The 15358-nt window shown below is 44.3% G+C and overlaps 1 protein-coding gene across 14 annotated transcripts in view, besides 1 other annotated feature; it reads right to left on the reverse strand.

Moving 5' to 3' along the window:
- ZFAT (zinc finger and AT-hook domain containing) overlaps positions 1 to 15358 on the reverse strand; it is a 354552-nt gene that overhangs the window by 99076 nt on the left and 240118 nt on the right. For 13 of the 14 annotated variants that reach the window (NR_110323.2, XR_007060749.1, XM_047422062.1 and 10 more), the window contains 3 exons: positions 13405 to 13492; positions 11383 to 11532; positions 6969 to 7142 (listed from right to left, as the gene is read on the reverse strand). Coding sequence is in view for 11 of the 14 variants with exons in the window: in XM_047422062.1 (XP_047278018.1) it covers positions 6969 to 7142; positions 11383 to 11532; positions 13405 to 13492 (412 nt within the window). In the remaining 3 variants the exon portion in view is untranslated. Of the gene's footprint in view, positions 1 to 6968; positions 7143 to 11382; positions 11533 to 13404; positions 13493 to 15358 lie in introns of those variants that run through there. The other variant, XR_007060750.1, reaches the window with a different exon arrangement.
- Positions 4229 to 5428: an enhancer, noted in NCBI's record as "CDK7 strongly-dependent group 2 enhancer chr8:135593335-135594534 (GRCh37/hg19 assembly coordinates)". NCBI's record gives its function as "activates an origin of replication core promoter dependent on BRD2, BRD4, P300/CBP, MED14 and CDK7 cofactors, with strong dependence on CDK7, by STARR-seq in HCT116 cells {active_cell/tissue: HCT116}" and the evidence as "EXISTENCE:reporter gene assay evidence [ECO:0000049][PMID:35650434]".

Genomic DNA, 15358 nt, shown 5'->3' on the forward strand with positions numbered 1-15358 from the left:
TTACCCAAAAACTTCTTAATTAAAATGTACAGGGGCAGTTTGGATCAGGGGGAGGGGAGAGACCCAAAGGAATTAGAAATAAACTCCAAAGACTTTTATTATTTCATGATTTAAGGATTCCTGTTTGATTACATAACATAAAGGCACTGTACAGCTTAACCTTCCCCATCTGCTATGGGTGGGCAGAATCGTGTATAAACCTCCAGACAGCACATCATGTCTAGGGCTTTTTAAAGTCAAAAGTGGGAAACTACATTACAGCATGATCTTTGCATTAAATTCTTACATCCTGTTGGCATACACACAAAGGGTTTAATCGAGCCCTTTATAGATCAATTTCTCTCTTTGTACATATTGACTGGCAAACTTTTTTAACTGAAACCTTCACCCAGAATGAGCTATCTTTTCTAAGGTACAGTAATGAGTTCCTTTGGGAAACAGGAATGCCACAGATAGGGATCTATCACTTTAAGCCAGCAAATGTGAAAAATTGGATTCACAAGTAGTTAGAAGAAAGGGTAATTGTAATTATTCAATTCCTTTTTACTTCATTAAAAAATGCCCAAGAAGATTCATTTAATGGTGAGTTCCTTGACCATATTTTAAAATACCTAATTCACAAGCATTTGATTTAACAGAATGATCTAAGATGAAATGGAGAAAATCACTGACACTTTGTGAGTACTACTATATCGCAACCACTTCATGCAAGGCACTTTACATTTTCCACTCATTCAATAAACACAAATTTATTGAGTGCCTATGATAAGCCAAGCCCTGTTCTAAGTGCTGAGGATACAAAATAAATGTAGTAAGTCGAAAATCTCTGCTTGTGAAGCTTACAATCTAGTGGAAGACACAAAACATCATAAATAAGGAAATTATACAGTACACTGGAGAAGGGTTGGTTTAAAGAGAAAGTAAAAAACATGAAAGAGAGTATGAAGTAATTAGTGGGACAGTTCCAGTAACAGAGACAAAAAAGTAGTAAATAAGGAAACTATATAATGCACTAGAGAAAGATAAGCCAAGGAGAGCAGCACAGGAAGCCACGGGCGTCTGGATTACTTGGTGGGGTATGGAGACCTTCCATACGTGAGCACCTAGGGAAGACTCATTCAGAGTGACTCGTCAATAAAGACCTCCAGGACATGAAGGAGGTATCCATTCAGACAGGGGGAAAGAACACTCCAGGAGGAGGGAAGGGCCAAAGCAAAACCCTTGAGATGAGCACATACCTGGCAGGTGTGAGGAACAAGAATGAAGATAGGCTGGGCATGGCGGCTCACATGTAATCACAGCACTCTGGGAGGCTGAGGCGGGCAGATCACCTGAGGTCAGCAGTTCGAGACCAGACTGCCCAGCATGGTGAAACCCCATCTCTACTAAAGATACAAATTAGTTGGGTGTGGTGGTGGGTGCCTGTAATCCCAGCTACTCGGGAGGCTGAGGCAGGAGAATCGCTTGAACCTGGGAGGCAGAGGTTGCAGTGAGCCGAGATGGCACCACTGCACTCCAGCCTGGGCGACAAGAGCGAAACTCTGTCTCAAAAAAAAAAAAAAAAAAAAGGAATGAATACAATATGTGTGGAGAGATGCTAGCTGGGGGAGAGTAGGAGAAGACATCAGAGAGATGGGGGGATCAAGCAGGTCATGGTGAGGAATTGGGCTTCCACTCAGAGTGACAGCAGATAGACAGGAGGGTTCTGAACAGAGGAATGGCACGACCTGGCCTTTGTTTCCACAGGATCACTGGCTGTTCTGTTGAGAATGGACTTGTGGGGACCAGGAGAGGTTCTAGGGAAAGCAGTTAGGAGGCTACTGCAAGAATGGAGGCAGGAGATGACAGTGGCCAGTACAAAAAGGATGGCATGAGGGTGTTGAGAAGCGGGAGAACTCCAGATCATGTTAAAGACAGAACGCACAGGATTTGCTAATGGATCATGTGTGGGGTATGAATGAGACAGTCAAGACTGACCCAATGCTTTTGACTTGAGCAAAGGAAAAGGAGTAGCCATTTCCCAAGATGGGGTACAGCAGGGGTTGGCAGCCTATGCCCAAGCACCAAATTTAGCCTACTTCCTGCTTTTGTACCGAAGTCTGGCTTTTACACTTTTCAAAGTTCGTAAAAATAAAAACTACAAAAAAGAGAAAACTGGATGTGGCACTCAAAGCCAAAAATACTTACAATCTCTTTACAAACTTTGGCAACCCCTGGGCCATAAGAGACCGGGTCTAGGGACGAAGATTGGGAGCTTAATGTTGAGCACGCTAAGCTTGGGGGGCCAGGTGGGCATCCAAATGCAGATGTTGAGTGGGCAGTTTCAGACATGGCAGTGCCAAGGCTGGGAGGAACAAGAGGGCTGGAAATACAAGTTTGGAAGCCTTCTGTATTAGTCCGTTTTCAAACTGCTGATAAAGACATACCTGAGTCTAGGTAATTTATAAAGAAAAAGAAGTTTAACGATTCACAGTTCCATGTAGCTGGGGAGGCCTCACAATCGTGGTGAAAGGCACATCTTATATGGTGGCAGGCAAGAGAAAATGGAGAGCCAAGAGAAAGGGGAAACCCCTTATAAAACCATCAGATCTCGTGAGACTTACCCCTAGCACGAGAACAGTATGGGGGAAACTGCCCCCATGATTCAATTATCTCCCACTGGGTCCCTCCCACATCACATGAGAATTATGGGAGCTACAATTCAAGATGAGATTTGGGCGGAGACACAGCCAAACCATACATCTTCTATCTAAATGGTGTTTAAAGCCATAAGACTGCGGGGATCACCTAAGGTGTCAAGAAAAAAAGAACACATGGTGGCTCATGCCTGTAACCCCAGCACTTTGGGAGGCCACGGCAGACAGATCGCTTGAGGTCAGGAGTTCAAGACCAGCCTGGCCAACATGGCGAAACCCCATCTCTACCAAAAACACAAAAATTAGCTGGGTATGGTGGCACATGCCTGTAATCCCAGCTATGGTGGGAGGCTGAGGCACAAGAATCACTTGAACCCAGGAGGTGGGGTTCAGTGAGCTGGGATTGCACCACTGCACTCCAGCCTAGCTGACAAAGTGAGACTCTGACACAGGGAACAAAAAAAAAAAAAAAAAGAACAATGCCCACAGGCTGAACCCTGTGGCCTCCGAGAGGTAATCAGAAAGCTAAGGCAGAACCAGGACAGGATGCCGAGGCAGGGCAGCCAGGAGAGCAGGAGGCCGCCAGGCAAACATGGGGTGCACTTCCTGTCTTTTGATCCTCAGACCCACTCAACAAGAGGGTATACCTATCCCAGTTTACTGATGAGGAAAGTGAGGTTCAGAGAAGTAATCTGACCAAAATCACCCTACTAGGAAGGGGCAAACAGATCCACACCCAAGCCTCTCTAGCTCTACCTACTCTACACAGCTTCTCTACAGAGCAACCTATTCAGTTATTACTCATACCACAAATACAACTAAAACCAAATAATTCCAGGCAGGCTGTAAGGCAATCTTGGCTTCTAAGTAAAAAGCTAATTCTATGGTTAAAGGCTGAGAGCCTCATCAAGACAACCAAGGCACCTGCACAAGCACAGGTGACCAATGGATTCAAAGCATGTTACAGACATCCTCAAAGAGCTCACAAGGTCATCCCCAGGGATAGTCCTAACTTGATGAACAATTCTGAAGTTTATCCAAAGGAATAATAACTAAATGAGAAAAACTATGTAAGCTTCATAAAAAAATTAACTTTATTGGATAAAAATAAAGTTAATTACTAGAACAGCTTGAAAAATAAGGTACTAGTACAAAAATCACTGACACAGACCAAAATCTCAGAATTAGACCCAATATCTTGGGAAATTCTGGCACTGCAAAATAAAATTGAAAGGACTGATTTCTCTATAAATATACTGAGTCAATGATAACTGTTTGGAAACAAAGATTCCAACCACATACCATACGCTAAAATAAATTGCAAGAATATTAAATTTCATAAATGTTATGTAATCATAAAATAAAACTCAAAGAAAAAGTAAAAGAATTTTGCCCCAAACTGAGGAAGGTTTCTTTTGACAGAAAGAATCATGGAAGATGAAAACATAAAGGAAAATAAATGAACAAAGTTATTTAACTTTGTATATAAAAAGATACCATAAACAAAACATAGAGGCAAATGATGACAAAGTATTAAGATACAAAGAGCTGTAAGACATCAACAAGATAAAATATGAGCACTACAGAAATAAGCAAGAGATGTAAATAAACTTTTTTCAAAGTTTCTATAATAGACATGTTATGGGAGAAAATTAAAAAGGAAATGACTCACCTATAGCTTAATTAAAGCTACATCCTAGATCAGCAATGGAGCTAGAACAAGGGGTCTATGACTCAGCACCCTGTTTACCAAGCCAGTCCCAGGCAAAACATGAGACTGGTAAGCGTCAAAAGAGAAACACAAATAATGAAGTACAGCAGCCCTGTGGGAAAGCAATCATCTGGAATTTAGAAATAAAGCTGTACCGGCCCCTCCTATTTCCATCCCTTTTGCTCTACTTTACCCCTTTCTTCCTAGAATCAGAGAATTGAGGCTGAAAGAAACCCAAGAAACGTGAAGGTATCATTTCTTTATTTTGCGACGTGACAAAACTGAGACCCAAGTAGTGGAAAAAGTTGGCACTGAGGCAAGCTACCTGTTCCAGTGGTCCTCTCATTGCACCTGATGACTGATGCCTTTCTTTTTTTTGGCAGGGGGGGTGTAGGGAATGGGTCTCACTCTGTCACCCTGCCTGGAGTGCAGTGGTGCGATCTTGGCTCACTGCAACTTCCGCCTCCAGTCTCAAGCAATCCTCCCACCTCAGCCTACCAAGTAGCTGGGACCACAGGTGTGAGCCACCATGCCCCGTTAATTTTTTGTATTTTTGGTAGAGGCAGGGTTTCACCATGTTTCCCAGGCTGGTCTCAAACTCCTTCGCTCAGGCAACCCACTCACCTCCCTTGGCCTCCCAAAGTGCTGGGATTATAGGCATGAGCCACTGTGCCCGACCTGGATGCCCTTCTTACCAGAGAACTGAAAAGTGCTGAAAACAAAGACATGACTTTACAAATACCTCACCCTCCCAAAAATGTCAGCAGAAAGAAAGAAAGAGAAACAATACAAATTCCCAATGTTTTGTTAGAAAATACTTCATAATGTTTGAATACCATTCCTTTTCAGGAGTTGCATTCCTGCTTTGACAACAAGACATCTTTGTCCATCTGAACTCCCTTTCCTGCCGAAGAACTCAGAGAATCATGACAGAGAGGATAGGCAGAGTGTGCTGCTGTGGACCCGTGATACCACCAACTACTCACACCGACCCCATCCCTCTATATCAGTTGGTCCAGGGCCTGACAAATTAAATGGCTTCTATCTGCTCAAAGGCTAAGCCCAGACTGCAGAACCAGGCATGAGACGACAGAACCCTGTTCAGTGCCTGTGAATGCCTTCTTGACCCTGTCACCGTGGCCTACTGGATACTCCAGGCTTCCCTGCCTCTGGGGACAGCTGCTCTTCATTACTGAAGGACTGCAGTAGTTATGTGCTATCATCATCTTAAGAAATGTAATTCTTGCCTAAACGTTCAGGCAGCTGAGCGGTCAGTAAGGCTTATTGTTTGTGGAGGCGTAGAATCATAAAAAACTACATGACTTTAATGCTTTCATTATTCAAGTATGACTGCTTTACTGTCATTGTATTTTTAATTTTGATTATGGATTTTTTTTAGAGAGAGTACTGCTTAAGTTTTAATACTTATGGCTCTGGCTCTTTTTCAGCCTTAGGCAAGCCCTTGATCTTTAATTCTGATGAATCCCAGCCAAGTATTCAGCCTTTGCACTGAGTCCCTCGAGCTCACCTGAATACTTGCCAAGGGCCCAACCCCCACACACACAACAGGATTGATTTTCAGAACAATCTTAAAATAAAGATAGAACTTAAGAGCTATATCATCCACTAAATTTTGAAATTAAAAATCACTGTTGAAATAATTTTGATTTCTATAGTAAACTCCAATTTTTATATATAATTTTGGTAAATAACAATACATTTATAAAGTTTATTAATCTTGTTACATGAAGTATTTACAAGTCCCTCACACAACCTGTCTAAGTAAAATCAAAAATGTTAAAAGTCTCTTACAGTTTAGCTGCCTGTCTTCCTAGAACAAATCTTCTTTCCCTCTATCCAGCCTGTGCCAGGGAGACTGTGCCCACTGCCCACCGAGCTCACCACCCACCTCGACCCATGCCCTGCTCCCAGGGCTCCCGAGCTCCCCTCCATCACTGCACTTACCTTTACCGTGGCCTGCCTGCTCTTCTGCCCTGCCTTCTAGATTACGAACTCCTTGAACGCAGGAACTTGTCTCTACTTGACCTGGTATCCCTAGAACCTACCTCCCTGTCTAGCACATATAAGAACTCAATCAATGGTTCTTAATGAATGAATGAAATTAGAAATCCACTTAAGTATACTTTATCTAGGTCAAATCTGCCCAAATGTTGGTTTTACTTTAGACTTGGTTCCACCACTGAGGTAGCTTGGATGATAAGAGACTCACTTGAAAAATCAGGCCAGGTGTGATCAAGGTTGCCCCTCAAGATCCTTGAGCTCCAGGTGGTGATGGAGGGCTAAAAAGGATGGAAACTTCGGAACCATGGATCAAGGCTTTCTGAAGACACCTCCTTTCCTGAAGCAGCTTCCCTCCCTGCATACCTCCACCACTGGCACCGACACACCCAGTAAGTGTTTATCCTGCACCTGCTGGAAGTGAGGCACTGAGCACAGGAATGGGAGGAAGTCAGGCCTGGTCTTCACCGCTCTTCCAGAAGCTCCTTCTAACGGGCAAGTGCTCTTTCCTGCCTCTGGTACAGCAAGTTTCTGACAAACTGGAACATCAGCTTCAAACCACACATTTAGAGGGGAAAGTTCACCTTGGGCCATTTACTCACCATCTGCAGTGTGAAGGAGTTTGTGACTTTTCAGTGTCCCTTTTGATTTGAATTTCTTGCCACACATGTCACATAGGTGGGTTTTCTCAGTGCTGTGACGATTCATATGAGCCTTGAGGTTACTCTTGCTACGAGTTGCATACTCACACAAAGAACACTTGAAGGGCTTCACACCTGCCAAGGGAAAAATGTATATATCTCTATATATTTACATACGTTTATGCATATGTGTGAATCTGAAGGAATATATATATCCATATCTAAATACACTTATAGATATGTATATATAAAACATCCGTTTTGAACACAGCAGTATACTTGCTTGGCCCTAACACACCACACACTTTCCACGCCAGGTTCTTCCCCAGGCTATGCCTTCGTCCTGGGATGCCCTTGCCTCCTGGTATACCAGGTGCCTCCACCCTGCAGCTTTCTCTGACCTTCCCTGGTAGATTTCCCTGCCTCCCTATCAATGTTCCCAACTCCTGTAACTCTCTACTAGCTGAAACGTTCACTGCACATTACAGTGAGTCCTTCATATCTGCCCTCTCCCCACAGTCTGGGAACTCCTTGAGGACAGAGATCCTGAGCAACCTGCAGAGCAGACAGTCACTAAATTCAATTGAACTGAGTTAGACTAAACACAAAGGCACCAAGGCCCTTTGCAAAAACTCAATGGGATCAGGCACCAGGACCAAATGTGGAAGCACATTTACTTTGTAAAACAAATCGAACTTTACCAACTGGTGGTTGATGGGCTGTTGACTCTGACTGTAGGGGCATCTTGGCATTCACCACTCCTTCATTCACTAAGTGTCTACTGAGGACCTATTTTCATAGTAGGAAATTTCATAGAGAAGAGTGAATCCCAGCCTTCACTGTCCGGTGGGAGATGCAGACAGGTAAACAGGCCGTTACAATATTGTGTGATGTGCTATAGGGACAGGGGCTGGGGCCGGGGGAAGGGGAAAGAGGGCGGGGAACAAACCTGCACATAGTAATGAAGCAGACAATTTTTAGTAGTAAGCCAAACGTTTTCACCCATTATCTACACTACCTATGACTTTGCAGTTGAGGAAACCAACGCTTAAAGAGGCTGAGGGCAATGTCCAGGGGCGCAGAGCTGAGTTGCACATTGGGGTCTGATGTGCCTTAGGGCCCACGCAAAGCCCAGCTCTGGTCTGGGTTTCTAGAGATGAAGTAATAATCTAACCATAAGTGTCAACAGGCTGTGTGCCCTTGAACTTATGTTTGGGTCATAGTTCTCATCTCTGTAAAATGACAGGACCAGGAATCACTTCCCACGAAGTCTTCAGAGCACCAGATCCCTCGTTCTGGGTTGGTCATTTACAACACACTCTCACAAGAGCAGGGCCACAGCTGTGGTGATAGCCTGGGTCAAGCAGCATCTTTCTGTATCTCGCATTACCCTCAGCAGGCATTTCAACCCCGAGTCAAAGCTACAGATGGCTCAGAACTACCACAACCACAGAGGAGAAGCCCACACAAACCATACAAAGAGGGAACATGGTGCATCCCTGCTGTCTTTAGATCCTTTATAAATGTGTGAACAGTTGAATATACTCAGGCACTATTTGACCTGGTGTTTTTCTAAAACATTCAAAGAACTCAAAAATGAAGACATGCACTGTCTCCCAGTCCTGGAGAAGCCAAATTCCTAATATCTGTTCCTCATTATGACTGGAAGGAGAAGAACCAAGCAAAGCAACACAGAGACTGAAGTATACATATTTCCATTAACATCTTTGCCCACCCACGGGCCGGCTGTGGAACCCTGGGGAGTCACCTAAACAGCTCTGCACTTCCGTGGACTCTGTGACATACGGTCGTGGAAAATGAGATGGTGCAGGTTAACTAGCTGTGGATCTCCAGATCATCCACAACATGGCATTCACCCCAAGGCGATATACCAAGACACTGTCTACTCTAAATTCTCCCCTAAGAGCCAGTGTTTAGAACTGCTGTAGTGGATGGGTCCCAGGTCCATTGCTTGACTATTAGGAAACCTTGAACAAAGTTGCAGGTCCTCTAAGCAACTAATGTCACAGGTATGCACAAAATTCTACACAAATGGTTAATTTCTGTGACTACAATCAATACCTGTGTTTTCTGTTTTTCTTTCTTTTTTCAATTTAATTTTTTGGGTTTTTAAATTTGTTTTTCTTGTCCTATGTTTTGAGAGTAAACGGAGACAAGGGATATTTTATGGTACAGGGGATCAATTCCAAAGAACCCCAATGTATGGTGTGTGTACTGATATCCTGTTTCCTTTGTGATTCCTTCATTACAGAGAAAGTTATAAATTAGAGAGGAAAAAAAAGATGCCAGGATACAGCAGCCTTTCGCTTTCTGAATCTTTATCAATTCTGAAGTCGCTAAAAATATTAGATTACTTTCAAATGGCAAATATGCAACATTACTGCATCATCACAAGTCTTTACTTAACACAACAGCATCAGCCATGTATTAAGTACCCAATATGTGCTAAGCCTTCTACTGAGGGCTTTACATAAATTATCTCGTTGATCCTTCTAACAAATCCCAAAGCAGACACATTACAGATAAACAAACTGAGTTTCGAGAGATGGAATTATTTGTCCATCATACATGGTGAGGGTGGGATTTGAACCCAGTTCTCTCACTTCTTCTCATGTGAGTACAATTACAGTTTGATGCCTTTATAAGCCCATGGTCTCCAGCCTCTGCTGGGCCCTCTGTGCTTCCATCAGGGTCAGCTCCCTGCTGATTCCCATGAATGCCATTCCAAGCCTGCCTTCTTGGCATTCTTTGCTGAGCCAACTGTGACCATCGGCTACGAATGCCTTCAACTTCATAACAAAGAAACAACACGTGTATATACACATACCTGCTACCACCCTCACCCCCTTCACTCCTGTCTCAGTGTAGGAGGTGCCTCCTCCTTCTGAAACAAGTCAGTTCAGAAGAGAAGAGCAAGGGTTTTGGAATCAGATGGCATTGGTTCAAATCCCAGTTCCACCACTTGTTAGCTGTGTGACCTGGGGCAAATTACTTCACCTCTCTAAGCCTCATTTTCCTCATTGGTAAAATGGGGATGGTAACAGCATCTGCCTTTAAGGTTGTTGAGAATACTGACTCCAATAACGTGAGTCAAACACTGAGCACTGGCATCTGTTTAGGTCACTCTTAGAGTGCTCAGGGCATAGGACTGCCATTAGCATTTGCACTTTGGTGTCCACATGCATCATAAACCTGTTCCCATCACTTGGCTTTCAGAAGGGGCAATAGTACCTACAATGTGACCATCACTCTCCTCTCCACACCTGGGTTGTTTGTACCAGGAGTGAACATTTGACACAAAGCACCCAGTCCATAGGCACCCCAACACTGTGACTGCCTTCTACAAAGGATTCTGCCTTCTCGGAATGGCCCTCTGGAGATAGAGTGTTCATTATATGCTGGTAAACAAAAAAGTAGCTTCCAACCTTGGAATTTATCTCAACTCCTTCTGCCTTCTCCGGGTTCCCAATCTGTCAGTTACGATTCTCATTACTGAACCACTGGTCTCTCTCTCCCTAATAGTTCCTTCCCTGGGACCTATAAATAGGTCATTTTATCCCATATTATAGAAAATACTTCATCCTTCATCCCCCTCTACTCTTGTTTTCCTATCTGCAGCATTCCAGGTTCCTAACTAACAGGCAGGGACCTGATGCAGGTGTCTGGAAGGGCTTTCCCTGGCCCCTTGTCTCCTACCCTAATCCCCAGGAGGGCCATGTCCTTATCCAGGGGGAGAAAACAAAGTTGACGGTCTGTTGCCCTAGTAGAATCTTCACTTCCAACTTCCCAAAGCCCTGAGAGTGGCCCCACACTTCCCTTCACAGGCAAGCAACCCAAAAGCACAGCCTACCTTCTTCTCTCCATTCCCTCATCTCCATTCTGCCCTTCCACCTTCTGAATTCCTTCTCCATAGCCTGAATGGTAACACTCCAAACTGCTGGAATGGGAGAACTACTTGCTGCCCTCCTTCCTTCATTCATAATACCAACATTTCTGGAAAACCTGCTATGCACAGGGCACAGGGTGGGCACTGGAGTTCCTGCCATGAATAAGTCTCCGGTGTTCCTGTTCTCAAGGTACCTACTTTCCAGCAGAGGAGTCATGGTGATTTATTTCACTACAATTGCAATGAGACCTATGAAGGAGTGCACACCTCTATTCATTGCAATTGCAACTAATTAAGTAATGGTTTAAATTACTGTTTGTAGCTGGTTGATGGACACATCTCTCAGTGTGCTAAGGAAATTCTAACAGCAGGGATGTGAAGATACGGCTTCCTCTTAATGTACTCCCAAAATGAAGGATGGAAGCACAAAATTAGAAAGGTGCCCAATTTGGAAAGATGAATACTCACCTTCATGAGCCCAAATATGACGCTGAAGGTCTGAGCCATTCTTCATGAAATAAAAGTCACAATATGGGCATTTCATGGCTCTCTTTCCAATTAGCCCTTTCAGCTGAACCCTCCTCCCGAGAACCTCAGAAATGGTGCTCATGGAGACCTCTAGAAGAAAAGCAGGATGTCAAAAGGAGTCAGAGCACCTCAGGGGAAGTTAGACATAAATAAACCTCATTGCTAAGCAGCACCCACAGGAGGAATCAAGGTGTGCCTCATGGTGTCCAGAGACAGGATTTTCACCTAAAAAGTAAAACCAGAACCAAATCGAGTCTCAGATCTCAGTATCTGTTAACATCATGTATGAGGAATGGAGAAGCAACATCACAAGGCAATTACCACACAAATGCAGAAAGTGAAACTGTCTAAAGGAAAAGTGACTCAGTTTCCCCCATAAGTCAATGTCATGGAAAAAAGCACAGCAGGACACTAGAGAAAACAAGAAACAGAAACATAATGAACTAAACCACTAGATGCAAATGCATGGATGCTGGTTCAAGCGAACCAACAGTTAAAAAGAAAAATCTTGGGGAAATTGGGGAAATTTTAAACAGACTGATAATAGGTGGCAATAATGAATGACAGTTGATCCTATTTGCTTTACCGGTAACATGGTGGTTATGTTGAAAGCAATCCTTATTATTTGGAGATGCATTTTAAACGTTTTTATGGAGGAATTACATGCTGTCTGGAATATACTTTAAAATATCCTAGAAGAAGAAAAGTGTGTGTGGTAGATACATGAAAAAGAGTTTGACAAAATGTGGATAACTGTGGAAGCTAAGTGACAGATACAGGAGGTTCCTGGCATTGTTCTGTGTGCTCTTGTATTTTGGGATTTTCTGGAATAAAAAGCTTAAAATAATAACAAAATAATGTCTTACATCTGTTCATCAGCAAAGGTTAGCTGTTTTAAGAATAACTTTGGCTCACATTGGATCCCATGTCACTTAGGACATGAGTTAACATGAGAAGGACAGAGCTGGGCCTTCAGAGAAGCACATAGCCCACACAGACGAAGGCCTCACAACTCTGTCCATTCCCAGCTGAAACATGAGTGTTAGTGCCCTTCTATTATTTCTTTATCTTCCTCCATTTATAATCAGTGAGTCAGTTCCCTTATACCAAGAGCAAATACAAAATAAAGAACAGGAAAAAAGAGACATGTACGAAGGGAGAGGCACATTTAGAAGAAGTACCTGTTACTCCCTCATAAAACACACAATACACTTGTCTGCTTTCCTGGGCCTGCCTGTAGAGGCACTGGAGATGAGGCGGGATAAGCCCCGACTCAGGGAGCCCATGGGAGTTGCTGGAGAGTCACAGTGACTTGAGCACAGCGGTCAGTGCGCCCTGTGTGACGTTAGCAGGGGTGCGGGGTGGACCCTCGGCCAGGCTGGAAGCTACAAAAGCCTCCCCAGAGGCAGGGCTCTGAGGAAGAATGCAAAGAATGAACAGGAATTAACCAGGTAGGGCAGAAGGGAAAATGTTCCAGGTGGCACGAACAGAAATGACAAGGTATGAACACCCAGGTAGCTGGTGCCTCATGCACCTGAGCAGTGTGGAATATGAGAATACCCGTGGTAATGGTCTCTCCAACTCAAGGATGCTCTTCAGCCTGGGCAGGAGCCAACACCCCTTACAAACCACCACTCTGGGTAACACAAGCTTATGACAACAGCCCTGCCTCATATGCGACCCATCGAAAGGCATGCAAAGTTCCCATTAAAAGGGGCAGAGGGTATCACTGAAATTGCAGGGGTGAGGGTTGATGCATCTGAAGACCAGATAAAAGAACAAAAGGAAATAAATAATTACATCAACTTCCCAGCGTCGAATAAAGATGTTTGTTTCCCATGAATATATTCACAGCTTCATCCCTTTTTATTTCTATATAGTGCAGTTAATGTAAAACATTGTTTTAAAATAAACATAAGCATTTTTAACATTAATCTTCCACTCCAAAATGCACAACCTTACCAGGATGGTTGGTCTTGATATGTGACTTTATCAATCGATCCTCTGAAAAAGACTTTTCACAAACAGGACAAGAATAACTCCTTTTGTCCTTAATAGAAAGAGAACATAATCAGTTGACTTTCTCATTTAAATCTGTGGTCTGTAAAAAATAACCATCATCATCACCATCATCACCCACCACCACCACCACTACCACTCACGCTATCAACAGTCATCACCACCACCACCATCACATCACCATCATCAATACCATCATCACCACCACTAGCACTATCAACAGTCATCACCACCATCACTACTACCACCATCATCACCATCATCATCACCACCACCAGCACTATCAATAGTCATCACCACCAGCACTATCAATAGTCATCACCACCACCACCACCAACACCACCACAACCAACACCACCACCACCAACAACAACACCACGACCACCATCACCATTACCACCACCACCAACACCACCACCACCAGCACTATCAACAGTCATCACCACCACCACAACCAGCACTGCCACCATCACCACCACCACCACCACCATCAACATCACCACGACCCCCCTCACCATCATCAACACTAGCATTCTCATCAGCACCATCATTATCATCAGCTTCATCAAAACCAGACAAAGTACATCCTTCCAAGCACATACATACACCCTCTACCTGGCGCTGCACAGCCTGGGGAGCTCGAGAGTAGGGGAATGGGGGAATGGCATCAGCTCCATTTCAGAAGGAAGGGATGGGGCTTAGAGGGGAGAGTTCTGTGGAGGCAGGTGGTACTCAACCTCAAGGCTGCGGGTCTACCACACACACCAGTGCTACTCTACAACCCAAGAGCATATTACATCCGCCAGCACTCAACGCAGGGATTGCATGGCAAGTGATTTTATTGAGACTCACAACCACTCACAAAAGATAGGCACAGTTCATGCTCATGTTACAGATTAAGAAAACAAGGCCCAGGAGATAAGCCCAAAGTCTGAGAAGAGGAGCCAGTGTTGGAAGTAGAGTGTGCGGACGCCCACCCAGGATGCCTCCTGCCCCTCGGTGTCCCACTGGGGCGCAGATAGGTTGTTCATCCTGCATTGCTGCAGCTTCACAGCCAGGGCCACCATGGTGTAACATTCTCAATTAGGAAGAAGCTTTTGTGAATTACCAAGCTATGGCTTTTGCTCACCTCCCTTTGCTCTCAGCGCTCACTTGAGGGCGATTTCATATCACTCTTTTCCCCTAGAGTGGGTGTTATTGGTTGAATTCTATCCCCTAAAAAATCATATGTTGGAGTCCTAACCTCCAATACCTCAGAATGTGACCTTATTTGGAGATAGGGTCTTTACAGAGGTAATCCAGTTAAAATGAGGTCACTAGGGTGGGCCCTCATCCAATGTGACTGGTGTCCTTATAAAAAGAGGAAATTTGAACACAGAGCTGCATGCAGGGAGAACACCATGTGCAGATGGAGGCAGAGACCAGAGCAATGCAACTGCCAGCCAAGAAATGCCAAAGACAGAGAGCAAATCACCTGAAGCTCAGAGAGGCATGGACCACATCCTCCCCCACAGCCCTCAGGAGGAAGCGGCCCTGCCAACACCTTGACCTCTGCCTTCTGCTCTCCAGGACAGTGTGACAGTAAATATCTGCTGTTTATACCACCAGCATGTGGCACTTTGATTGCCAAGCTTACCAAGCCCACAGCTTACAGAGAGCCAAACCCTGGTAGGGAGGACTCTGCGCAGATAGGTGAATAAAAAGTAAAAACAAAAAATTCAGAACTACCACTGCAAGGAAATGTTTTGGGCTGTGTGTGTTTTGGGGGAAGTTAATCCACTCCACGCTCACTTGGATTTACAGAAGGACTAATTCCCTCTACTTGTGGAGCCCCTACTGTGAGCTCCCCAAGGCACCAAGTGTGTTCCACGCCTTGTGTGATGAATGCTCTCCTCAC

The sequence above is a fragment of the Homo sapiens genome, chromosome 8 (genome assembly GCF_000001405.40).
Source record: "Homo sapiens chromosome 8, GRCh38.p14 Primary Assembly".
NCBI classification, from domain to species: Eukaryota; Metazoa; Chordata; class Mammalia; order Primates; family Hominidae; genus Homo; species Homo sapiens.